The following is a 26,690-nucleotide window of genomic DNA, read 5'->3' on the forward strand; positions in this document are numbered from 1 at the left end:
GTGGTTCCCCAGGTAGGCACTGGCAGGGTCTGTTGGAACCATGCCCACTACGGTGGCAGGAAAGTAATGGCAAGGACAAGCACCCAGCTCCAAAGTCAGACTAACAATTTGGATGTCCAGAAGTCTGAGGCTTTTAAAACAATTCAACTTGGTGGATGGTTCAATTTACCACTTCTTTCTCAAAATTCCTCTCTGCAAATTTCTATGAAGATTTAGGGTTCTAGAGCTGGAAGGAACTTGGCATGGGAGTTAATCAGTATCATGAACTGTTGATGGCACGAGGACTTCACCTCCTGCCCCCAGGCCAGTTCTGCTTTTACTACACCACTGGGTTGGGGTGCATTTGGAAGTGACAGCAGCATTGCTCCTTTGTAAACATGGTTGGGTCTGGGTTACCTAAGGGAAAATTCTAGAGGGAGCTCTCGGACAAAGTTCCAGATATACTGGGAGAAAAGTACCTAGTAAAAGAGAAACACAAGACACTCCTTGGGCATAAGGAGAAAAAGAACGAAATAGTATTGGGGGGTAATAGGCTAGGGGACAGTGCAGGAAAGACAAGCAGACATGAGAATCCTGGCATGTCAGGGGCCAAGGATGATGTCCTTGAGGCCAATATGATTCAACTCGAATAGCTGAGAAGGGCTGCAAGAAATACAGTGTCCTATCTCACTGGCTTTGTCACAAAGGGTTAACACTAGACAATTTTCTTTTTCTGTGCTTTCGTGTACCCCATTTTAAAGTGAGGATAATAACATTTTGCCAGCAACGTCTGTCAAAGGGGACTGAGATACTAACATGTGCCTCTGAAGGAGTCTTGAAAGAGCACCAGATTCAAGTCCTAGCTCAGCTAGAACTCTGTGTCCTAGGAAACATCCCAAAACATCCCTTAAGTTCAGTTTCCATGTCTGTGACAATCAAGGATTGGGCTCCTTGAATTAAGTCTGCCCCAGGTATATGATTTCCATACGTGAAGTGCTTTAAGTTCCCACAAGGAAAGTTTCTGTGTAAATTACAAATGGCTTTAAGAGCCCTGTCAACTCAACCTTCCTCCCATTCCTGCTCTCCGCACAAGCAAGAGAATCACTTAGAAAGCATTGTAAGCTATAGGCAATGGGAAGAAAAGGAGAGAGACTGCACACAGGCACTTTAAGGTAAGGCTGCACCAAGCCCTTAATGCTTTACTTTGCACGAGACAGAATGTGGATTAGCGTGTTTATTTCAGAAGCCTTTCTGAACACCATACCTGGCTATTTAAATTCACAAGGCATTTGTTGTCACACTTTGTCTCATATTAACAATGGCACAGAAGGCACTGGCAGTTCTCTCAATATTCTCACCCCAGAATATTGGTGGATGGGGGTATTACTCAATGGCACAGTTTCTTTACTTATTATGAATGTGCTAGGGAAGGACCATTTACCCCCACTCCCCTAGCACCCAGTATTTTTAACTAAAAGCTGTTACTTCAAGAACGTAATTCCCAGATCCACACAGGGGCACTGTCAGTTTTAAAGGCATCGCATCTTGTTTCCTCACTTCTTTGAAGCTCATAAGAAACCTCTCCTTCTGAGCGTCTACTTCACCTAAATGATCTCAAATTCCTTGAATCACAAAACCAGTAAGAAAGGGAGGGGTTTGGGGAGGGGGCAGGGGAGAGTAGTGAGGAGAGAAAGAAAGAAAATGGGATGAACAGTGGCTTAGTGCAACGGGCTGCGAGTGTGTGACACAAGATACCCACCGCAGACAAAGAACGCCATGAGACTCGCAGGGAGACAATGACGGCTCCAGGAAAAACGCAGCGCTCACGGGGCTGGCGAGGGAGCCTGGCGCAGCTCCCTTCCCAGACCCGCTCTCCCTGCCAGCCCAGGGCTCCCAGCAGCTGCTCCCCAGTAGAGAGACACATGGTCATTTCCTAGCCGAAAGGAGGGCTACCGTTTTCCTTAGGTTTTTTTTTTAACATAAGAAATAACTCCTCCCTATCATCATATTCCCCAGATATAGCTGTATTTTCAACTACCAAAAACCAAACAGAATGATTTTTGTTTCCTTAAGAGTTTAGAAATTCTTGTGAAACAAAATAATCAGGAAGAAAACAAAAGTTCAGCAAAGTAGCTAAAATCTGTACTTCAAAAAACACAGGTAGAAAACATTTTGGTTAAGTGTGCTGGGGTGCTGGTGAATGTGGAGGACGGGCTTTGAACAATGCAGTGGGTTAACTCAGTGGTGTTGCTACCCTTTGTCCTGGTTAGTTCAAATGGTTAAGACAATGCAGAGGGCTAGGATTTTTCCTGTTTCACCTCTCCTCTTTCCCAGAAACTATCTGGAGCAGGTTGATTCACTAGAGATTCCTAATCCTCCTTGGCAGAAAGAGAAATGTGAATTTGACAAATAATATGCATAAAATATTCCTTAACCTGGAAACATTAGGAGGAAATAATCAATTCAGAAGAACTGAAATAAAAAACTAAACATAGAAAAGTGCTGCTGCCAGGCAGCTGTCCTCCAATGTTGGAAACATGATCACCACAGGACTAGATCTGTTTAAAACCACTATCTGTTTACAAACAAAGCACTTACTAAATAACGCTCCAGGTAATGGATGATGACAGGAATAGGGCTTGCTCTTTTAAATAACAACAGATTGGAAAAATATTTCAATACCATCAGACAACAAATTAAAATGAAACATCTTTTCTAACTGGAAAAATGCAGATCTAGCTGGGAAAATTGATTTCTACCCATCCTCCATCCTCCCAAAAGAAGATTAGAAAGAGAAAACTGAAAATCATACATCCTGGAGATGAACTTTGTTAATGAGCGCCATAAACATTCACAGGGAGCTAGGCTCCTATTTCATAGGTTTTTGAAAAAAATATTCTAATATGCACACGTGAGTCAAACAGACTGCAGTAAAATGCATCTGATGTTTAATTGTTTTAATACACTGCAAGAGGGAGTGAAGCCTTGTCACTCACCAGATGAAATCTGATCTCTCTCAAATCATCTCACCCAATAGTGTTAAAGACATTACTGCTGTGACATAATTCAACCTCAAGACATCTTATGGGAAACATAGGTCAGTTTTAAAGCACCAGGTGGATAAACAGACATTCATTATTCAGTCTCCTGACCTTGAATTTCGGGGGTTCTATAGTCATCTTTTGTTTGGAGGCTGCCACTTGAGATATCGTGTGCCATGCAAGGGCTTTCCAGATTTAAGTGGACTTTATCGAGTAAGATGACTCTTTTTTATGAGAACACATAAGATGCCAAAACATATGCTTCTGTCTTGTTCCTAATTCGAGGGGGCCAATAGGAAGAAAGGGAGTGGAAGGGGGAGGGGTCCATAGCACTCCCCTCTCCTGGTTGGTATTAGAGTGAACAAGAAGTGAATTAGGAAACAGGCCGGGTGCGGTTGCTCACCCCTGTAATCCCAGCACTTTGGGAGGCCAAGAGGGGTGGATCACTTGAGGTTAGGAGTTTGAGACCAGCCTAACCAACATGGTGAAACCCCGACTCTACTAAAAATACAAAAATTAGCCAGGCATGGTGGCGGGTGCCTGTAATCCCAGTTACTCTGGAGGCTGAGGCAAGAGAATCACTGGAACCTGGGAGATGGAGGTTTCAGTGAGCCGAGATGGCGCCGCTGCACGCCAGCCTGGGTGACAGAGCGAAACTCTGTCTCAAAAAAAAAAAAAAAAAAGTGAAAAAGTGAATTAGGAGACATTTGAAGACCCCTGGGCAGAGCAGAAAAAAAGGTGGTTAGCATATTTTCTCATTCAACTGAAATACATCTGTTGACCTCTAAAGTTCAAACAATTGCAGGGCTAACTGCATCCAACCATAGCTGGAGATGAATTAAAATTGATATTCTATAGTCGTCTATCAAATAAAAATAATAAAAGCTAATAAAAAATAATAATAGCAAAGACTTACATAGAGCTTACCCGCTGCCAGGCACTAATCCAAGTACTTTGGATATATTAACTCATTTAATCTTCCCGTCAACCCCTTGAGGTAGGTGCCATATACAAATGAATATAAACTTGGTTATGTTTAAAGAACAAAAAGCTTCATAAGCTTTTTGGTAAAATAAGCTTTGGTGGTAAAATAGGATAGAGGTAGGTGATAGTTTTGAAAAGGAATCTGAGTCCACATATCCTATAACATAGGATGTTGCCGTATATATTGCTGGGGCAAATATTTATATGAAGAAAACATACAAGGATAGCTTATCGGCATTTTTTTAAATAGCCTTGTTCATAAATTTCCACTGAAGAGAATACTAATCTTTGTAGAGAGAAAAGTAAGATCTAAAAGAGATTAGAGAAAACAAGAGGATACGTGATAAAAAGTGAAAAGACCTCATAGCGGCTAAAAATTTATCACCAACTGGAGGAAAATTGCACTCAAAGAGCCTAAAATCTAAAACAAAACAAAACACTGGGCTGGTCCCTTCTTGGAAATGATAATCTTTATTACAGCTTTTCCTTCCTGGGATTCTTCCTAATGCTAATTCCTAGTAGCTAAAATAATAATAAGGGAATGGAAGATGAGGCGAAAGGAGACGTTTCTGTATTCCATTATATTCCAGTAAAGGGAGGGCAGTGGGGAGGGAATGCCTCAGAGATCTAGAAAGAAAGAGGAAAGAGAAACAGCAAAAAAAGGTTTCTGTATCTGTTTCTTTTACCTTCTCACCCATTTGGAACAAAAGGGAGGTGGTCGGGGTAAGATCAGGTTATATTCCAAAGCCACCAGCCATTGGATGGCCTGGAAATGGGAAAGCCAAGCTGATCCCATTCTTTCCTCCACAGCTAACAGAGAGGCAGGGAAAGCGACCAGCCTTACCAGGCTGCAATTCTTGACCCTGTGCCTTCTCCCACACCATCCTGAAGAAGCCACTGACTTCCATCCACCAGAACTGCTTCTCTGCTCTTGCACTGAAACCTCCTGCCATTTTAAGGACACGGCCCTGTAGGTCACCTTAATCTAGTAACTCACAGTCATTTATTTGGCTCTACTATCAAAGAGAATTTTTCATCGGTAAGAAATGGCACTGTTGGGCAGCGTTGTCAATTTGTACTGCTGAGTAAAGAGATTTCAAACGTCTAGGATTAATATTTGTGATATTTACCCTAGGCTAGTCCCAGAGTTAGATTTTAGGCTGGGCGCAGTGGCTCACGCCTGTAATCCCAGCACTTTGGGAGGCCAAGGTGGGCAGACCACCTGAGGTCAGGAATTTGAGACCAGCCTGGCCTACGTGGTGAAACCCCGTCTCTACGAAAAATACAAAAAAATTAGCTGGGCGTGGTGGCGCATGCCTGTGATCCCAGCTACTCGGGAAGCTGAGGCAGGAGAATCGCTTGTAGCCAGGAGGCGGAGGTTGCAGTGGGCCCAGATCGCGCCACTGCACTCCAGCCTGGGCAAGAAGAGCGAAACTCAGTCTCAATTAAAAAAAAAAAGAATCTTTAAAAGTGTTTTTGCATGGTGTTTACAGGTTTCTGACCTTTTAGAATCCTATCACATGGTAAGGACCAAGCATTTTCTGACCAAACACTTTTTCAAATAAGGTAGGTTTATCAGGAACACGGTTTACAGCCTATCATTCCCTTTTGACATTGGTCCCTGAAGGAACTACGAAGTGGAACTGTGAGCTGGTAAGAGATGAAAAAGCAAATGACAGGTCTTACTCTTTTTTTTCTCTCACAAGTTAAAAGCCTGCCTTTATATTGATTTTCAGATGCTGAATATACATAGTTCATCTTCCAGATAATCTCAATGTGTCTTACTCCAATAAACAAATAAAATTTATGAGAATGGAAAAAAAGAGATGAATTTTTATCTGTAAACAACCTTTATACACGCGCACACACAAACATTAACCTGATCTGCAACTGACTCCTTGCGATAAAAGACACTTCTGTCAGGCACTGACCTGGCAGCCTTTACAGGGATGTGGATCCATGTGTATTATTTCGCCACCACGAAAACTCTTTACCAATTAATCTGACAGAAAAGGGACCGCAAAATTGTTCATAAATTATAATTTGCATATTTGGCTTAATCTTAAAACCTTTGCATATCTAAAAGGGTCATCTTTCCCAAATTCCAATACCTTTTAAACTGTGATTTAATGTTACAGTTAATTTCCGTGACTTTGAGTTCTTAATATAATAGCATGATAGATACCCAACATATAGTATGTATCTGCACTACTGTACACATGCTCAAATCTGACAACACCTAATGCTGAGACAAAACATCAGCCTGTGCCTATTGTTACAAGTCATGTGCATTTTGGTCCCTAGAATTTTGGTTTACTAAATGGGAATTGCCAGGAAGGCAGAGAGTGGTCAAATTTACGAACCAACAAGCCCCAGGCTCCCACAGGCCTTGTGCTGCACAGGAAGTGTCTCTGTTTTTTGTTTTTTAATTTTCTATAGGACAAGCTTTCCCGCTGCCCTCCCATTCACAGATGTTCCCGATCCTGACCCACTTTCCCTAGTCTGTACTACAGTCCAGTGGAGAATGCACTCTCTCAGCCTTTGTCTGTGGGCAATCTTATTCTTAGCAAGAGATCTTTTCCTATAATTTTTTTTGTCCTCCATTAACCATGCTGACCAATGTTTAAGAATCATTACATTAGTTGGTTCTTCCATTCAACTGTAACATGCTATAATAATATTTTAAACATCACTTCACTAAATTCTCCCTAAGTCAAGGAAACTATTCTGAGCAATCCAGGCACAAGATTTAATTGCATTGATTTAATTCAACAAATACATAAAGAGTACCTGCTGTGCACCAGGAACTATTCTAGGAGTCAAAGATACAGAAGTGAATAAAGAGACAAAAATCCCTGTCCTTAAGGAGCTGACATCTGAGATGCTTGCCTAGATTCATAAGAATCTGGGAAGGTACTTAGATTCACAGGAATTTTATCAGTTCAAGCTAAACTCATTTGGGATAGAATGTATCTTCTCATAATATCATTAATTAGACATTCTAGGACTGGGCTTACCACTGGTTTAGCAAATGGCTGGATGGTATAGAAAATTAAGCAACTTTGGTTATCCAGAGAAATTGTTTTCAACTTAGACTGTGTGGAAATAGGCATTGCTTTTATTGGGTGCTTCCACATCCAAAAAATTTTGTTTTCCATTGCAAAGAGGTAATTTTACCCTTACATGTATGAGAGTACCATCAAATCTACAACATAAAGTGAAGGAACAAAGAAAAACGTCATTCTTGATTCTCTACTATGCTTCACTTAAAAAAATTAATGTGTACCACAAATATGAGGGCACTGGTTAGTTCTAGACTTTATTGAAATGGGCTCATTTCACTTGATCCTAACCTGCATATCTGGCATTCAGCAGAAGGAACAAATTTAAATCAGATGTTTTGACTGGGGTGACTGGAAATTTGTACCACTGTTAAGCACACCTATACACACACACATATTTATGTTTGTGCCGTATGGTGTTTTTTAAATGTCAGCGTTCATTGAAAGTGAATATGTAACTATATGTATATTTGTTGGTATAGTCATATTTGCTTTTTAATTCCTTCTTTTCATCGGGGTAGATCAGTTTAAACAATTTAAAAATTAGAACCAAGAAGTTTTATTTAAAGAAATACTATTTAAGTGCATTGCTAACTAGAAATAAGTCAATAAGTGTTGCCCAGTAATACGTTTTTAAGATGTCTACTTGAACTTATTTTGTTGAGTATGTTCATATACTTACAACAGTTTCATAAGGTCTGCTCATGTTAGGAAAAATCCTTTAAGATCAGTGAAAACAAAAAAAATGCCAAAATATTTTGAAACGGGGTGCATTTGATAAAAATATCAAGCTATTTCTAACTTGAATTAAGGGAAATGAATGACATAATGATCCCATTAAACAATATACATGAGGCCAGCCGCAGTGGCTCAAGCCTGTAATCCCAGCACCTTGGGAGGCCGAGGCAGGCAGATCACTTGAGGTCAGGAGTTCAAGACCAGCCTGGCCAACATGGTGAAACCCCGTCTCTATTCAAAAAGTAGCTGGGCATGGTGGCAAGTGCCTGTAATCCTGGTTAACTTGGGAGGCTGAGGCAGGAGAATTGCTTGAACCCAGGAGGCGGAGGTAGCAGTGATCCAAGATTGCACTGCTTGCACTCTAGCCTGGGCGACAGGGCTAGACTCTGTCTCGAAAAAAAAAAAAAAGTGTGTGTGTATATATATATATATACACATATGTCATATATATTTATATATATGACATATATGTCATATATATTTATACATATCTGACAAATATATATTTTGTTATATATATAAAGTGTGCATATATATATATATATATATGACAAACAGACCCAAAAAACTTTACTTTGATGACTTTACCAAACAGAGAAAAGACATTGATTGGTTTTACTCAAGGTTTTCTTGTTTTGTTTTTTTTTTTTTGAGACGGAGTCTCCCTCTGTCGCCCAGGCCGGACTGCGGACTGCAGTGGCGCAATCTCGGCTCACTGCAAGCTCCGCTTCCCGGGTTCACGCCATTCTCCTGCCTCAGCCTCCCGAGTAGCTGGGACTACAGGCGCCCGCCACCGCGCCCGGCTAATTTTTTGTATTTTTAGTAGAGACGGGGTTTCACCTTGTTAGCCAGGATGGTCTCGATCTCCTGACCTCATGATCCACCCGCCTCGGCCTCCCAAAGTGCTGGGATTACAGGCGTGAGCCACCGCGCCCGGCCGTTTTCTTGTTTTTATGGGAGGTTGAGGAGTGGTTCAGGTGAACTAATGGCCTTAATGATTTTTACTATTGCTTCAGGTTTGGCTAAATACATCTAACCTCTCTGCCTGTTTGTGCACTGCAGTTTCTGTATATGCAGAGGACAGGTGTTTTTAGTATACTAAGCACTTTTCTAAAATGCAATTAATGATTCATTCTCATATTTAATCCACTTTAAACATTCCACCACTGAAAAAAGGTGAAAAGGGAGGAAAAACTTTTTTATGGAGAATTACAATGGAAATTTCTTCCTGCCTAAATTATTAAAAGTTCCAAATTAGTAAGTCTAAGTTCATTTTTATCATACATTACAGAAGTGATCTAAATCTCAAAAAAAAAAAAAGTCTACAGATGTTTTAGGCAATTACCTATTATGTAATGCCTCTTCAATCAGCCATATTTTATTGCAAGGAAGGGGTCTTAAAATAGAAAGTTTTGAAAAACAGGGAATTCTTATAAGTTTGGCAACCCAAAAAATTTTATTTTGGAGCTATTCAATGAGAAAAAGAAGATAAAAGAATTAATGTTGTATAGAGTGAAAAACAAGTTTTGCTTGTGAAATTTAAGCTTTGGTTTGGTTTCTACGAGGTAGAAAATAACCTGTTATATTTTATGTGTCAGAGGACATAAATTATGAGTGTTATAGGCTGTAGGTGACAGACATACCTGGAAGGTCAACGAGACTCAAGATCTCTGTTGTCTCAGCATGCTCCCTCTTCCCAGCCTCCTGTATGCAATCAGTCGTCCAGTTCATCAGTTCTTTCTTCCTCTTGCCTACAGTTCTCAGTTTCCTCCCATTCACTTTACTCCTGTCCAAGGCCAGCACTTAGGACTTCACACTTGTATTTCTAAAGTGACCACCACATCAGCTTCCTGTCTTCATTGTCTCATGAACTTCACCACCAAATAAAATGTTCCTAAGTTCCATCTTGGGCATTTGTTTAACAGCCTTTCTATAGACCGCTTTGCTTAATAATTTAAAATCTGTACCTTTTTACCCAGCCAGTCAAGTTTCCCCAGGATCTGGCCCTAACCACCTCTTGAGGTCTAGGTTCTATTCCTCTCCTTCATCCTGAGTCTAATTATGCAGATATCCAATGAGACAACTGCCCTGGCACCATCCCATAGGGGGCACTGAAACACCACTAATCAATTAGAAATACAGCGCCGGTTAACTCAGGTTTCTACCCTCAAACTCCTTACTCATTGGTAAAATGTAAACAAGAGCCATTCCCATAAAAGCACACAATATACCCTGAGCAAAGAGATCAAGTGCCGGTATCCACGGAAATGACCTCTATCCGTGGTGCGTATGACTAATCATATCCAATTATGAGTGCTTTTTAAAAAATGAAAGACAAGTCCAAATAGGTTAAAATGTCATGTTGCATTCCCAGCATATAACAGACATCTTATTTTGAAAATAAAGAAAGAACTATTTGGGTATACCTATTTTATTAATAGAAAACCATTCTTTCCTTTACTCTTCCACTAGAAAATGTCAAATATTTAAGGAGTCAAATGATTAGCTCATCAGGGGCACGCACGCATCTCAGTCCGCCTTCACCCTTGCCATCTTGTCTCCCTACAGTCCATGAACACAGCCTGCATTCTTCCCCTTGCCTATGCATATGCCGTTTCTTCCTCTGGAATATCTTCCTTACTTTTCCCTCAGCCACCTGCAATCCTAACTGTTCTTTAAGATGCAAGTGATTTTCTACATTTTTCCATAACATCCTCCTCACTCTCACTAGCCATTAAGTAGTCTCTGTTACCGCAAATCCTATGTTATCTCTGACATGATACCACACTGTCTTTTGTGCCCGTTTTTCTTTTTCAAGAAAAAATATACACCTACCTCATGCCAAACTTTTTTCTAAGAGTCTTAAATGCATTTTTCCATGTATTCTTCAAAATAACCTTTGACACTATTATTTCCATTTTCTAGATGAATAAACTGAGCTTTATGGAAATTAGATTACTTGCTCAAAGTCATACAACCAAGAAAAAGCCTGATTCCAATCCAAGTGTGTCCATTTCTGGAGCATGAGCTCTGACCATAATGCCATAGGGCTTCAGTCTTACTTCCCCATCCCCAGTGTAAATTCCTTCATTACTTGAGGACAAGCACTGTGTTTTGGGTACCTAGGTGCCTCTCCACAGTCCCCAATAGAGAACCTTTCTGGACCATAACAGATACTCAGCAAAGGTATATAAATGATGGTGCTGAGATTCTTTGGACCTTCTGATAGGAATGCGGTGTGGATCCCATTACACTTTCAGCTGTTCTGAAAGCACTTGAGAATGGGATGAGGCTTCTTTCAGTGGTATGGGCAAAGCCAATCGCTGCAGGAGCAACATTACAGATGCTCCACAATGTGGAACCATCTTTCTGTGATCTCCTAAATTGGCCTTATATATTTCACAACTTTTACATCTTTTCTAGTCAACTTCTTTCTAAATTCTTCTAAAGGGCTCATCATCTAACACTATTCTGACTTCCCAACACTGTAGTAAAGCAGTAAAGCAATGCCATATGCTCATTTGTTAAGCAGCTTGACATAAATATCCAACCAACCAGAGAGTAGAGAAATTAAAATGACAAAGCACGATAAATGATCAAAAAATATAGATGTCCAAAAGCCGAATGTAGACACAATTTAAAATTAGAAGACTCATCAAAGTGGGAGGGGCTGGAAAGATTAGTTACATGTTTATTATTGCAAAAACTAGGAACAGCCTAAATGTCCAAAAGAAAGGGACTGCTTAACTAAACAATGGTGTGTCCAAACAACGGAATACCACACAGTCATCAGAAATTAGTCATTCGACAAATATTCATTGAGTGCCTCATGTACATGAGGTAAATGAAAAAGAAATGATACCTGCCTTCATGGTGCTTAGAGTCTAAATGATGATACAGAAGTATATATAATGACAAAAACAATTTTATATTGCTGGGTGACGTGGTAGGTTACAATAGAGTAAATCTGTGTGAATTAGTTTTTTTGTTGTTGCTGTTGCTCATAACTTGAAGATATATTTGTTCTGTGTTCACACCTTGCCTTGAAGATGTTTAAGTTCAGCATTAACGTCATAGGAAGTGGTAAACTTCAATCACTCCCTTCCTTAGGGACACTAGGATATTGAAAAGACTAAAATACTGAAAGACCTAATTATATGTGTATAGGAAGAATGGAAAAGCTGGCATTATTTCATAAAAGTAGACATCCAAGTGAGTTGGTCTGGCAATATTAAATTTTACAGAAGAAAGTAAAGTTGCACATTCAAATTAAAACTGAAAAGTATTTCAAAATTCAAAAATTCAAAAAATTTAAAAAGTAATTAAAAATTTAAAGTGAAAATGAGGCAAGTACAAATCAAATAAAGATTAGTTTGAATTCCAATTGAAACTAATTTTCAGATAGCTCTTTGAAATATATATTCCCTGTAAGCATACATTATTTTAAAGTATGAATTAAAAGTCTTCCACTGACCAATTACAACACAGAAGTATTGTCTACTGATGCACTTTTTAAAAGAAAAAAGTCAGAAAAAGAAAAGCAAAGTCAAGTACGCAAAGAAAAAAGAGAATGAAATTTAAAATCATGAAACATCAATAAAAAGGATGTCTATCACTCTGGGTTACCCTGTTTTGCATAAGTCCTGAAGACATAACTAACTAGCAAGAACAGAAGCTCTATAATTTCTTAAGGTAAAAAATAATAAACTATAAGATTTATAATATTCGAACTTCTTTACTCTTCAAATTCTTAATTTTTAGAAATGGAGAGAAACTTCCTCAAATTGATGAAGAGCATCTAAAAAAAGTCTATCATTAAAATAGTTATTGTTGAAAGACTGAATGCTTTCTCCCTGATACCACGAACAAAGCAAGGATGTCTGTTCTCACTCCTGTTATTCAACAAAGTGTTGGAAGTGCTAGCCAGGGCAATAAGGCAGGAAAATAAAATTAAAAGTATACAGATGGGCCAGGTGTGGTGGCTTACGCCTGTAATCCCAGCACTTTGAGAGGCCGAGGTGAGTGGATCACTCGGGGTTAGGAGTTCGAGACCAGCCTAGCCAACATGGTGAAATCCTGTCTCTACTAAAATACAAAAATTAGCCACATGTGGTGGCACACGCTTGTAATCCCAGGTACTCAGGAGGCTGAGGCATGAGAATCGCTTTAACCCAAGAGGCGGCAGTTGTAGTCAGCCCAGATTGTGCCACTGCACTCCAGCCTGGGCAACAGAGCAAGACGCCATCTCAAAAAAATACATAAAAATAAAGGTATACAGATGAAAAAGGATTGGTTCCTGTTTATGAATGACATGATTGTGTAAATGGAAAATCTCAAGAGATCTTTAAAAAAAAAGGACCTCCTAAAACTAGTGAGTCCAGCAAGATAACAGGATACAAGATTAGCATACAAAATATAATTTATATTTCTATGTCCTAGCAATAAATATGTGAGCACCAAAGTTGAGAATAGAGTACCATTTACACTTACTGAAAGATGAAATATTTAGGTATAACTCTAACAAAACAAATACAGGACTTATGTGCTGAAAACTAAAAAATTCTGATGAAAAAAACCAAAGAAGATCTAAATAAATGGAGAGGCATACTGCATTAATGGATTGGAAGACAACATAGTAAGATGTGACTTTTCCTTAACTTGATACACAAGTTTAAAACAGTTCTTACCAAAATCCCAGCAATAGATTTGTAGATGAAGACAAATATTCTAAAATGTATGTGAAAATGCAAAGAGACTGATATAATGGAAGCAATTTTGAAAAAAAGAATAAAGTAGAAGGCATCAGTGTACCTGATTTCAAGACTTACTACTGTATATAGTTATGGTAATCAAGACTGTGGGGTACTAGTGAAGAGACAAACACTAGATCAATGAAACAGAATAGAGAACCCAGAGATAGATCCACCTAATACAAATATGTTCAATTTATTTTTGACAGTTGCAAAAGCAATTTCACGGAGGAAGGACAGACTTTTCAACAAATGGCCAGAGCAACTAAACATTCATTGGCAAAACAAACATAAAACAAAACCAAACCAAAAATACCCACCTTTACCTAAACCTCACACCTTATACAGAAAGTATCTCAAAACGGATCACAAACTTAAATGTAAAATGTAAAACTATAAAGATTTTAGGAAAAAAAGTAAGAGAAAATCTTTGGGAGCTAGAGCTAGGAAAGAATTCTTAAAGTCAACACCAAAAGCATAACGAGTCAAGGAAAATTTGGTAAGTTTTGTTCTGTGAAAAATCTTTTGTTCTGTGACAGATTCTCTTAAGAGAACGAAAGAACAATCACATGTTGGGAGAAAATATTTGCAAACCATATATCTAACAAGGATTTCTATCTAGACTATATAAAGAATTCTCAAAACACAGCAGTAAGAAAACATTCCAATTAGAATATGGGCAAAAGACTTGAACAGACATTTCACTGAAGATGACATACAGATGGCACATAAGCACACAAAAAGATGTTCAACATCATTAGCCACCAGGGAAATGCAAATTAAGGCCGCAATGAGACATCACTATACACTTAGCAGAATGGCTAAAATAAAAAACAGTGACACCACCAAATACTGGCAAAGATTTAGAGAAATGGACCATTTGTACATTGCTGGTAGACAAGTAAAATAATACAGCCCCTGTTGAAAATAGGCAGTTTCTTTAAAAACTAAACATGCAACTACCATATGACCAAGCAGTTGTACTCCTGGATATTTATCCCAGAAAAATAAAAATTATATCCACAGAAAACCCTGTATATGATTGCTCATATCAGTTTTATTCATAAATAACCAAAACCTATAAAAAACAAATTATCTTTCAAGGGATGAATGCTTAAACAAAGTATTGCATATCCATACTATGGCATACTACTCAGCAATAAAAAGGAATGAACTATTGATACACACAACAGAGAATCATGCTGAGCAGGCGAAAAAAAGAAAAAACCTATCCCAAAAGTTTACAGTATGTGATTCTGTTTATATAACATTCTTGAAATGACAAAATTATAAAAATGAGTATCTAGTGGTTAAGAAAGGGGGATAGAGGAAAAATAGGTGTAGCTATAACAGGGCAATATGAGAGATTCTAGTGGTTAGGGAAATGTTCTGTATCTTGATTGTATCAATGTTAATACCCTGGTTGATAGACTGTATTATAGTTTTTTAAAATATTACCATTTGGGGGAATTGGGCTAAGAATACATGAGATGTGTCTGTATCATGCCTTACAACTGCATGTGAATCTAGTTATCTCAAAATAAAAAGGTTAATTTTAAAAATACAAAAAGGAATGAATACGCTAGATTATTAGTGCTAGTTAGGGTGGGGTTAATTTTCTATTAAGTCTAATTGGGTTTCTACAGACAACTGCTGGTGTAGCTATCTCCAATTCAAATAACCTAAAATTTTAATTTGAGAACTACTCAGATTCTAATTTAAACCTCTGGGTGCTCCCCTTTTCTATGTGGCAGCTTCTGCTGGTATATGTAACCGCACAAAAGCCAAACAAATGTATAACGCATAATAAAAAAACCAAAACCCTTTACACAATGTCAAAGTGGAAAATGAATGTGCAAATATTAGAAACAAATACACATGTATCTACTCATGGAAAGATCAAACAAAAGCATAAACTATAATATTTTTGTAGCAGTGAAAGAGCAAATGTTTTAAAGAAGAAAACAATCTTGTTTATCTTAATATATTAATAATGTCACTACATGGAAGGAATAGGAAAAAGCAAAGGACAGGTATTTGGCCCCGAGTTACAAACTCCAAGCAAATAATAATCAAAATATTCTGTCAACTTTTCTGCATTTCTTTGTGGAAGGTAAAGTCTAATAGTTGCTTGCAGCCATGCTTACTTTTTTTCCATTCATTCATTAATTCATCCACAAGAATTTTTGGAAGTCTATTATCAGGTACTTTGCAGTTAGAGAGGCAAGAAGATAAAATAGAAATGGTTTCTGCTAATCATGTTTTTATGATTTTATGTTTTAAATAAATGGGCTTAGTTTAATGTTTTGTATATAATGTTTTGGGACATAGTGTTTTTAACTTATTATAACTTATGTAACTAATCCCTTAATGTTGGGGCACATATATGTTTTCTCAACTTTTCATAATTATAATTAACACAGAGCAGTCATAACTGACAATAAACTAGAAATAAAAAAGACAAGAAAAATGAAAAAATACTTAAAAATAAATGAAGTCTTACAAAACCTCTCAATTCAAATTGCTAATATGTGCAAAATTAGTAACTGAAGAATAATTTTTTTTCTCTTTTCCAAATTGTTGTTTAAACCTCAACCTCTTGACAAACTTGGGTTCTAATTGTTTTTCTGTTCACTAATCTTTTAGGTTAACTCTGCCCTCCGCCCACACTGAACTACTTTCAGTTCCCCTAACTGACCATATTCTTTTTCCAGGGATTTGGATATGTTTTTTCAGTTTAGAAAACTCTCCCTACACAACACTGACAAAATCCTAATAAATCTTTGGGCTTCAAAGACACTTTTTATGTAAAACCTTTGCAGGTCCCTCAGAAGCCTGAGTGAAGTATACCTTAGTCACCCTGTAATTAATTACTTCACCATATTACAATGATCTGTTTACTTGTCTGTCTTCCCCACTAGACCCAAAGCTCTTTGACAATGTTTTGTTCACTATTTATCCCCAGCGCTGAGAAAACAGCCTGACCCATAGCAGATGCTACTCTATAAATACCTAATGAGTGAGGAATGAATGCATGAACAAATAGACTCTTAAGCCTCTGGCCTAGGAAGATGGGCAGCTCCTCATTCACCCAGATGACTGGATCTTGCTTATGAACACGGCCAACAACATAAGGCAGCTCTCTGAAATATATGTTAGAGCCTCAATCTTTCCACTGCTATACAATCTAGGAACTTAGGCACCTTTCCAGAAAACAACACCTCATCTAAGAGGTGTCTCCTGAGAGCTACTCTTGGAAGCACCGAAGTCCTTTTCACAAAGACTGCAAGGTCCTTGAAAAGATACACTGTGTAACTTCAGTGTACAATGAGCAGCTGGGAGTGTTTTGGGCGAAGTTGGTATAAAAGGGTGCCTTTAATACAATATTTAGGTAGGTTGACCTGACTGCCTAATTTATATGACGAAATATTAAAGCCCTGGGTACTGTGAGGATTTCCTAGTACTAAAGTTTGTCCTTATGTTTCCATCTTTCTCAGTATTGAGATTACAAATCTTGGAACACCAGTTCTGAGGGAGCTTGGTAGTCTTCCCTTCAACAAAGGCTTTAAGACACAGGACATATGCCTTGTTTTCTCAAGTCTCATTTCAGAAGATTCTTCCCACTGCAAACACCAATGCTATTTTTTTTCCCTCCTGACCTTTGTCAACTGTGTTGCTGTACTGCATTTGGAAGTATTACAATGGTCATTACCTGCCCTGTTTATTCAGTGTTAAGTATTAACAAGGCCTGTGCTATCTCAGCTGCTGTCATATTTCTCCAGAAAAGAAATGCCTATGTAAATGTCCTAATGCAAACAAAAGACTCTTTTTCTAGGTGGGGGTGGCAGAAGACTTGGAGACAATTGAAAAGATGGAAGAAAACAGTAGATATTTTAAAAGAACAGTTTTCAGAAATATATGAAATAATTGCACCATGAAATCTAATTTGAGGCTGATTTTTTTTTTTGTTTGTGCATTTGGTCAGTTCTGGCCTGGTATTTGCTCATATTGAGGCTATAAAGCACATATTTCTGGATTTATTTATAATGACTTCAAATAGTTTGATATTGAGCAAAAGTGTATAAATATATTACAGAATAAAGAGAAAAAGTAACCCTTGGCATCAAACTCTCTTTGTTTAGGGTTTACATGTTTGGTTTCTTGTGTGGAACAGCTATGTCAGAGTGGGTGGGATCCTGTTTCTGAGGGAATGGAAGAGTGCTGACAATATTTTCTTGAGCACAAAGAAGGGTGAAGAGTCTTATTAAAACTCCTACCAGATACTGCTTGTTGGACAGTGAAATTGCAAAACTTGCAAAGAGGAGGGCCAAACACCATGCAGAACAGATCAAATACAAATTAAAAAATTGACTTGGGGAAGAAAAATCTTTCACTAGAGTCAGCTTTTCTGTAGAAATTGGCCCGTTCTCATAAATTTACCTAAGTTTGTGCTTGGGTCAGATGACAAAGCAAAATTCCATCCTCTGATAGTTGCAAAAAACTGCCAGTGAAACAAACTGAAGCCAAATACATACTTCCTAGATGACATCCGATCCAGAGAAACAAAGGTGTAGGTCACTTTTTCATTTTTAAAGTACCCAAGGAGTTACAGAGAGATGAAAATAGACAATACGTGGAGAAAAGAAGACTGCTTCTCTTCTGTAGCTATAGCCATATGAAATAAAACAACTGTACCTGCTGGGACTTACAAATATGTGTGTTATTTAGGAGAACGGGCTCTGGAGTTACACTTGCAAGCTCTGAATCCCAGTTTAACCATTCCATTACTGTGTGAGCTTAGATAAGTTACTTAACTATTTTTAATTTTCTACCTTTTAGAAGTGAGTATGGACTACTTAAGCAATAGAAATTAACTAGGGCTGGAAAAAAAGAATGATTTGCTGGAAGTACTTCAGCAGCATAACCTTTATGTAAGAACAAATATCATCATTTATTGAGGGCCTACCTAATGTGTGCCAGGCATTTTGGATACACTATTCTAATCTTTATACATCCCTGCAAGGTTAATACTATTATTCCCAATTTATAAGGTTCAAAGTAGCTAAGTAATTAGATCTACGTCTTGAAGCTGAAAAGTGGCAAAAATATCTACCCATATTCCTTACCTAATTTTTTTTCCTTATTTTTAAAACAATGACCCAAGAATTTCTCTTCCCTCTCTGATTCCTTTTTCTCCAATCCTACTCAGGTCATAACTGCATTGGGAATCTCATTTCTTTCTTCTTTCTCTTCTTTATCCAGTTTAACGTTCCTGAATCCACTCACCAACCTCCCTTCTTCCTCCGCTTCCTGGTGCCACTGATCCCAATCCTTCCTCCAGTTTTGTTTGGCTTAAGTCCTGTCCTGAATCCCACTGCCCCATCAGGTCCACCCCACTCCATCAGCACTGTCATCATAATGAGAGCAAATACCTATTAGCACTTTTCTACGTGTCAGGTGCCTTATGAGATGGATACCATTATTATCCCCATTTTAGAGATATGGGAACTGGGACACCAAAAGGTAACATAGCCTACCAGGACACAGAAGTAGCAGAGATGGAGTGCTAACCTCAACAGTCTGGCTCCAGAGTTCTTGGTCCAGCCCTACTCTAGACGGTGCCACAGCCCTGGAGGGACCCAAGGGAAGTTGCAAATTCCAGCAAGTGAGTGTGAGCATGAGAGAGGAGGACCTGTTTCAAATAGGGGTAAATACATTCTATGATGTGTGAAACCAAATTGCTTCCCTTTTGTTGTAAATAACATGTAAATGTATACTTTTAAAATCACTATGGGTAAAATGTTTTTTTAGTGGGTTAGCCTAGGAACACTGTTTTTATGGGAACATAAATTCTGAGTTACCCCCAAAAAACTATTGGAACAGCCTGTTCATAAATTGAAGACTTCCTTTATTTCTGTTTGGGGTAAAGTTAAAGTAAGGGAAATCGGAAAAAGGAGGAAAGTAAGACTTCTCATTATTTGTAGATACAATTCCTGCACAGTAGAATGCAATCTGGATAATACGTCCCAACTTTCTAAGTGTGCTAAAAATAAATGTAAATGGTTCATTAGAGCTAATCTGGCAGCCAAAAGTGAATATTAATAACATGGAAGATCAATAAGATGCCCAGCAAAGAACAATGTATTAACTTGGTTCTAGAAATAGCAAAATGTGTGTAGGCCAGACAAGAAGCAATGGGACAGGAGGCACAGTCAGAAGAAAAATTCATCTCTTCTTTATAAGATTCAAGGAATTGAGAATAGACAAAATATGCCCATCTCTTTTTCCCTCTGCCCACTAAATAAGCAGTTTAATCAATTTTTACCTTTCCTTCCTTGTCTTCATCTGTCACTACTAACTCAATAGAAGAATGTATAACCCTAGTTCAAATACAGGTCAAGATGGCTATTATAAATATTATGAGCTTATGCTGTGACTTTCTCTCTCAGTTCTTATGTTGTATACTCTATTCAAGTAAGGGACAGCACAGAGTAGCTTTTACCCAAAGCATATTCAGTGAAGAAAGGGGTTCCATGGTCAAATAAATCTGAGAAATGCTGCATAATAATCCCCCTTTTAAGATATTGAAGGCTCTGAGACATCTTGCAGGAAAGACACCTGTATAATATATGGAACCCAGGTTTTCCCAAGCCTTTTGACCATATAATCCTTTTTACCTAACCCCTATTCACATCTTTGTGCAGAATGATACTGAGAACTCTGAACCAGGAAGAGAGCAAATCAAGTTCCTATCTTATTTTCCTGTGTGATTTAGAGAAGTTGCCCAGCTTCCCTGGACTTCAATTTCCTGAGAGATGGACCACATAATAGCTAGACGTTCTGTCCAGTCATGCAGCTCTAAGGGTATTTTCAACCCATGTGCTTCCATGGCCATCATCAATGCGCATGGAAGCTGAGGTCTGTGGATACACTCTTGGTGAGTGAGCATGTGCCCTCCTGCTAAGCCCACCTCAGAAGCGACTTCCATCACCCAGGAGCAGCCTAGACAATGGATCTTTTACACATCTTCACATTCAGTCCTTTATGCCCAAGCGAAGTACTCACATTGCAAAGGCTATTTGTCAGGGGGATATGTGGAGGGAGGAAATTTGCAGAGAATTGTTAAAACAAGCTTATATTTGTTCTTTCAAATATTTGCTGGCATTCAGACATGGCTTTTAAAAAAGTTTCTTGTGCTTTTTCATTTAAATATGCAAGTTTAATAAACATAATTCACCCAAAACAGAGAAATGAAGCAAATTCTTACAACTGATTCTTTAGGTCTACACTCTTAGGCCACATTCTAAGATGTTTTCACTTGAAATGCTGTTAATTCTGACATTTTAACTTTTTCTTTTGGAAAAATTATCATAAGCCAAAGGATTGTCCCTAATATTGAAAATATATTACTGTCACACAGTTTCACAAAATTATTCACCTTTTACTTTTATTTACATATTACTCTCCTTTAAAACAGTGTGGAAAGTACTACCTCTCTACAAGTTGAAACTGACTTTTTACTTTCTTGTTTTTATAGCAAGAGCATATTAATGATATAACAGCAATAGCTAACACTCATCTACATGCCTAGTATGTGACAAACATTATTCTAAGTAATGTATATGTGTGTATCAATCTTAACAACCTTATAAAATAGATACTATTATTATCCAATTTTCAAGATGTGGAAACTGAGGCACAGATAGGATAAGTAACTTGCCAAGGTCACATACCAGTAGTAAGCAGCAGAGTCAAGATGGATGGATTGATTGATTTTTTTTTTTTTTTTTAGAGACAGTGTCTTGCTCCGTCGCCCAGGCTGGAGTGCAGTGGTGCTATCACAGCTCACTGCAGCCTCAAACTCCTGGGCTCAAATGATCTCCCTGTCTCAGCCTCTGGAGTAGCTGGGACTATAGGTGCACATCACTGTGCCTGGCTAATTTTTAAATTTTTAACAGAGATGGGTGCCTCACTTTGTTGCCCAGACTGGTCTCAAACACCTGGCTTCTGGCAATCTTCCCACCTTGGCTCCCCAAAGTGCTGGATTACAAGCGTGTGCTGGGATTACAGGCGTGTGCTGGGATTACAGGCATAAGCCACTGAGCCCGGCCCAGAGTCAAGATTTGACTCCAGCAGTCTTTGCTCTTAATCACTCTGCTATTCAACCTCTTGCTTAAATTTGTAAAACAATAGAACCACCACCAAAAAATATATATAAATAGCTGAGGAAGAAATACAATTTGGAGTTACATGAAGCCCATAATATAACTAAAGAAAAGGGAGTATCTAACCTCTTGGTTCCACTTAGATCAAAGGAGAAAGGCCTGACTTACACTATGAAAAACACTGGTTAGAGACGTGAAAACATATCTTCTCTGTTCAATGCCATGAGATTGGCTCACCTGAGTAGGCTGCAGAATCTTCTTCCCAAATGCTTAATAACAAAAGTGAGAGAACCATCCAAAATATTCTGAAAAAAATCTCACAGAAGTTAGGATGGGCTAAATTAACCATCCTCAACCCCATTACTCTTTCCTAAGAGTACTCGATGGCTATGTTTCCAAATTATTCAAAACATGTTCCCTAATGTGTTAATGGGGGAGAGTGAGGAAGCAGAGACAGATTAAAAAGACTCAAGAGATATAACAACCAATGTAATGTGTGGACTTTGTCGGGATCCTGATTGACACAAACCTACTTGGAAAAGGCTGTTTTGGGACAATTGAGTTAATTTGATTATGGGTTAGGTATTAGATGATACTAATATTGTTAGGCTTGATAATAGCATCATTGTTATATGAGAACTCTCCATTTTTCTGAGAAATAACCTAAAGTAAATAAGGGTGAAATGACACATCTGAGATTTTTACTTTGACAAAAAAGAGGGAGACGACAGATGAACTGAGTATGACAAAATCTTGGTACTCAGTGTATCTGAGTAATGGTATATGAAGGGTCATTCTCTTTGTTTTTGCATATATTTGACAATTTTCATGATAGAGTATCTTGATAAAGAATATGGAAAGATTTCTGTCCTGATGAAAATAATTATGATAGATAAAATTATTTAAAAACCTGCTAGAGAAATGCCAGATACACACCTGGGTACACAGTTCACTTCCCCTAGGACTGAGGCCAGGAAAAAGAATAAGAAATAAAGGGAAGAGCATAGGGCAACCTGGACCAGAGACAGACAGGAAGACAAGAGAAACACAGCCACGGTGCCAACATTGTTTCAGGAAGATTTTACAACACCAGCTGTCAGCTCTAGATATACTGTTGCCACTTTCGACTTCATCTAGAAGTGTCCTTCTACCCAATGCTCTCAACCGCGATTGAAAAATACTACATAAAATGAGTCTCGGATCTCTGCCCACCTTATGTGTTTTGGCGTTTAAAAACCTCTCCCATGGATTGGCTCTCAGTCCTTAGGGGTACGTGGTTTCATTACTGAGGTATGCCTGTGTGCAGGAATGTGTGAGTTTGTGTGCATGGGCAGCTCCTCCCTGATCACTGTGGCTATGTCATAATGCACATCCTTGTCTTTTACTCATTGGGTTATACCTAACAGCCAAATTTGTTTGTTATTCCAGGTGTGCTTAACATACGTCAATCTTCAAGACAACTAATATCCCTTAATGATTAGGAACCTCGATTTTTTTTTCCAAGAAAATAACCATATAACTAAATCATTAAACTTCCCTTAAGTGCCTTATTAGAGGCTCATCAAAACATATATATGTGTGTGTGTGTGTCTGTGTGCATATACACATATATACATCTTTAAATTTTTATTTTACTTACTTATATATATTTTTGAGACGGAATCTCACTCTGTGGCCCAGGCTGGAGTGCAGTGGCGTGATCTTGGCTCACTGCAACCTCCACCTCCCAGGTTCAAGCGATTCTCATGCTTCAGCCTCCCAAGTAGCTGGGATTACAGGCATGCGCCACTACACCTAGCTAATTTTTGTATTTTAGTACAGACGGGGTTTCACCACGTTGGCCAGGCTGGTTTCAAACTCCTGACCTCAAGTACTCCACCTGCCTCAGCCTCCCAAAGTGCTGGGATTACAGCCCTGAGCCACCACATCTGGTCAAAACATATATTAAAATGCAAATAAAAACCTTTACGACAGAAAGAAACATTGAACAAATTAGTTGGTTGGACTCAACAAATACTATTTTCTAGCCTCCTCTTTCCCCCTACACAAAGACAGCCACTGATACATTTTGTTGCTAAAAATGCACTAGCTTTTTGCTTTTGATCACACTCTATGGTAAATTTTGCATCCCAGTTTTCTCACCTAACATTAAAATATGGGCATTTTTTCCTGTTCTAATTCCGCATAAACACCCATTAGTAGCTGGAGAATATCCTGTTAAGTACAGACAGTAAAGTTTTGTAAATTTTCCCCTACTATTGAACATTAGATTGTTGCCATTTATTTAATATTATAAAATAAATAATGCTTTATATGTGCAATACTTTCTTATATAATTATGTGTGTTTCCATAGTACTGATCCTTAGATCATAATTAAAAACTAAATTAAAAACAGTACCTAGTAGTTTACCTTAACACAAGAAAGAAAAATAGTAGAAAAAGGAAAAAAAAAAAAGACAGGTTCTGTTGAGCAGTGAGTTTGCACTGGCTGAGCCCAATGTCCCGACTCTATTATCTGTGACTCACATGGCGTGCTTGAAGAAAAATATCCCCGTCTTGTTGCTTCTTGGTAGCCCATGGCATTATCCTTTATCTAACCCTAGTTACTTCTCTGGGATGTTTCTTGCTCCAGTTGTTTTCCTCATGGTGTAACAATGTGAATTTGCAGTCCTGACTGTTCTCTTTAGAATTTCATCACTTCTTTGCTTCCATTGCAGTTTGCTTGCACTTCTAATGCAGCACTTCCTTCCCCTTCTCCCGTGGTATACTTTAGTTGTTTGCACTCTGTCTGCTGAGATGCTTTAACTCATCTTTTAATCACCTACAGTGCCTGGGATCGTGCTCTGCACAGAACACTGCCAGGCCATTAGCAGATTTTCATCAAATTATTAACATCATTCTGTTCTTGAGCAGGGTAGTTCCCTTCAAGTTGCCCTCTGCCCTACCCAGTGCTTAAAAACACCTCTCTCGTTCGCGTCTACAAATTTAATGAATGTGTTGTTTATATCCTTTCCCAGATAATTAATGAAGATGTTAAATAAGACCATGCTGAACACTCGTCCAGATTCAATACATTGCCATTTATCATTACACTTTCAGTCCTTCAGGCAGTTTTCAATCAATTTGACACATTCAAGTCAATTTGAATTCATTTTCTGAACTAGATTTCATGAGACCTGCTATCAATTCTTCCATTAACATCTGGATGTATTTAGATATAATAATATATCTAGTGTATTCTTTTTGTCCACTGTTTTCCAATTTTCAAAACAAAAAATCGATTAAGTTGGTATAACATGAAAAAGCTTTATAGATTTATGCTGTTTGTAGCTCTTGGCTCTAATACCTCATAGATGTTCACATATTTACCCTCTCAAATGTTCTAGTATTTGTTAGCAATGTAGTTTTCCTAATTCACTTATTTATCCAACAAATGTTTATGGAATACTTATTATGGGCAAGTATTATGTTTGGAATAGGTTTAACACTAATTCTATTTAGAAATTAATTATTCAGGGGCTCTTGTTCTGTGAAGTGTACAGGACAATGTCTCTCCTAAACTATTTTTCATTTTATTTTTACTATACATTAGCAACACTGGAGCATAGATGAAGCAGGAAGAAGAGAGAAAGCATGTGTGGCTTCTAACTGGCAGTTCTGATAAAGAGGTTCCTGGGGTAAGGATTCTGAAAAAAAAGTGGCTAAAATAAGACAAGAGAATGAATCTGAGATATCTCTGCCAATGATACTCTGAACAAGTGAGAACTGGATATGCAGTCTTTACTCCAGTGTCTGTCTGTCTGTTTCTCTCTCTCTTTCCTCCCCATCTCTCTCCTTCTCTCTCTCTCTTTCTCATTATTCTTCGTGATTCCAAAGGAGAGCTACCATATTTTGAGGAATTCATTATTATTTCCATTAACACTGGCTAACACATCATCTAAGATCTTGCCTATTTATTTGTTTTCTTCTTTTTTTAATGAAACGGGTCTTCATTACTGTTTAATTATCCTTATTTATCTTCTTAAAGGCCAGTTTTAAAAAGCAGTTCCAAAGCTCAGCCATTTTGCCATCAATAGCTCAGACATTTGAGCATAATCATTAAGCTTATCTCCCTATTCATTTAATGCTAGGCCTCCTTTATCTCTAGTATGCTTTCCTTTCTCTTCTTTATTATGTTTGTATTATTACCCTTTGCACCACTGATCGCCATAAATACTTCTTGGTTGTAACTCTGGAACCTCTTTGATGATTCATGCTCTCCTGTGAGAGTCCTATAGACAGACTTGATTTACTTTCAGCTTTCTCCTTTTTTTCCTTCTATTTTTGCACTGTTGTCATTGTCACTTTTAGACTGCGTCTGGTTTTTACAATGATGTCCAGTCTTCGAGGTGAAACCGCTGACCTTGAGTAAAGCACCTGCCCCAATTCTGCAAGGTAACAAGTGCTGCAGAACCACGGGACCCAGCTAAATGGTCAGAGACTGCCCAGGTACACCTGCTCTCAGCCCAGGGGGACAGGTACCATCTTCTCAGTCAATCAGTAAAACCAAACCCTGCTCAGCACAGGGTAGCAGCAACACCAATTCAACTAGAGAAAAGGGAAATGATCCCTATTGGTGAGTTTGCCACCTGAAAATAGTACACTTGGTCACTTCCAGCAATGGTTCCTCCCTTGAACACTGCCACTGCGATTAGAACAACTGTTTTCCCACTTATCAGTTATGCCTCAAAGACCACAAACTAGGAGAAATGCTGAATTCTCTCTCTTTCTGGGTGATATCCATGCTCACATTTGGATTTAAGTACATCCCCTCCTTCTTTTTGTATTCCTTTCTTATTTGTGTGGTAACTGAATTTGAGACTGTTAACTGTTATTGCTGGATTAATTACCAACTAATTTTCACCTTGTATTGTAGCACAAAAATAAATTTTTTAAAATAGGGAAAATTTTGAGAAAATATTTCATTAGGG

At 38.2% G+C, this 26,690-nt stretch overlaps 1 protein-coding gene and 1 long non-coding RNA gene across 4 annotated transcripts in view; one reads left to right on the forward strand and one right to left on the reverse strand.

The window, feature by feature from the left end:
* Positions 1-26,690, reverse strand: part of MAML3 (mastermind like transcriptional coactivator 3) — a 437,432-nt gene that overhangs the window by 286,148 nt on the left and 124,594 nt on the right. The gene's annotated exons all lie outside the window — the stretch shown is intronic.
* LOC124900783 (uncharacterized) overlaps positions 8,735-26,690 on the forward strand; it is a 52,131-nt gene continuing 34,175 nt past the window's right edge. Inside the window, exon 1 of the long non-coding RNA XR_007058278.1 lies at positions 8,735-26,154. This is a non-coding gene — a long non-coding RNA (uncharacterized LOC124900783). The remainder of the gene's footprint in view (positions 26,155-26,690) is intronic.

This window comes from Homo sapiens, chromosome 4 (genome assembly GCF_000001405.40).
Source record: "Homo sapiens chromosome 4, GRCh38.p14 Primary Assembly".
NCBI classification, from domain to species: Eukaryota; Metazoa; Chordata; class Mammalia; order Primates; family Hominidae; genus Homo; species Homo sapiens.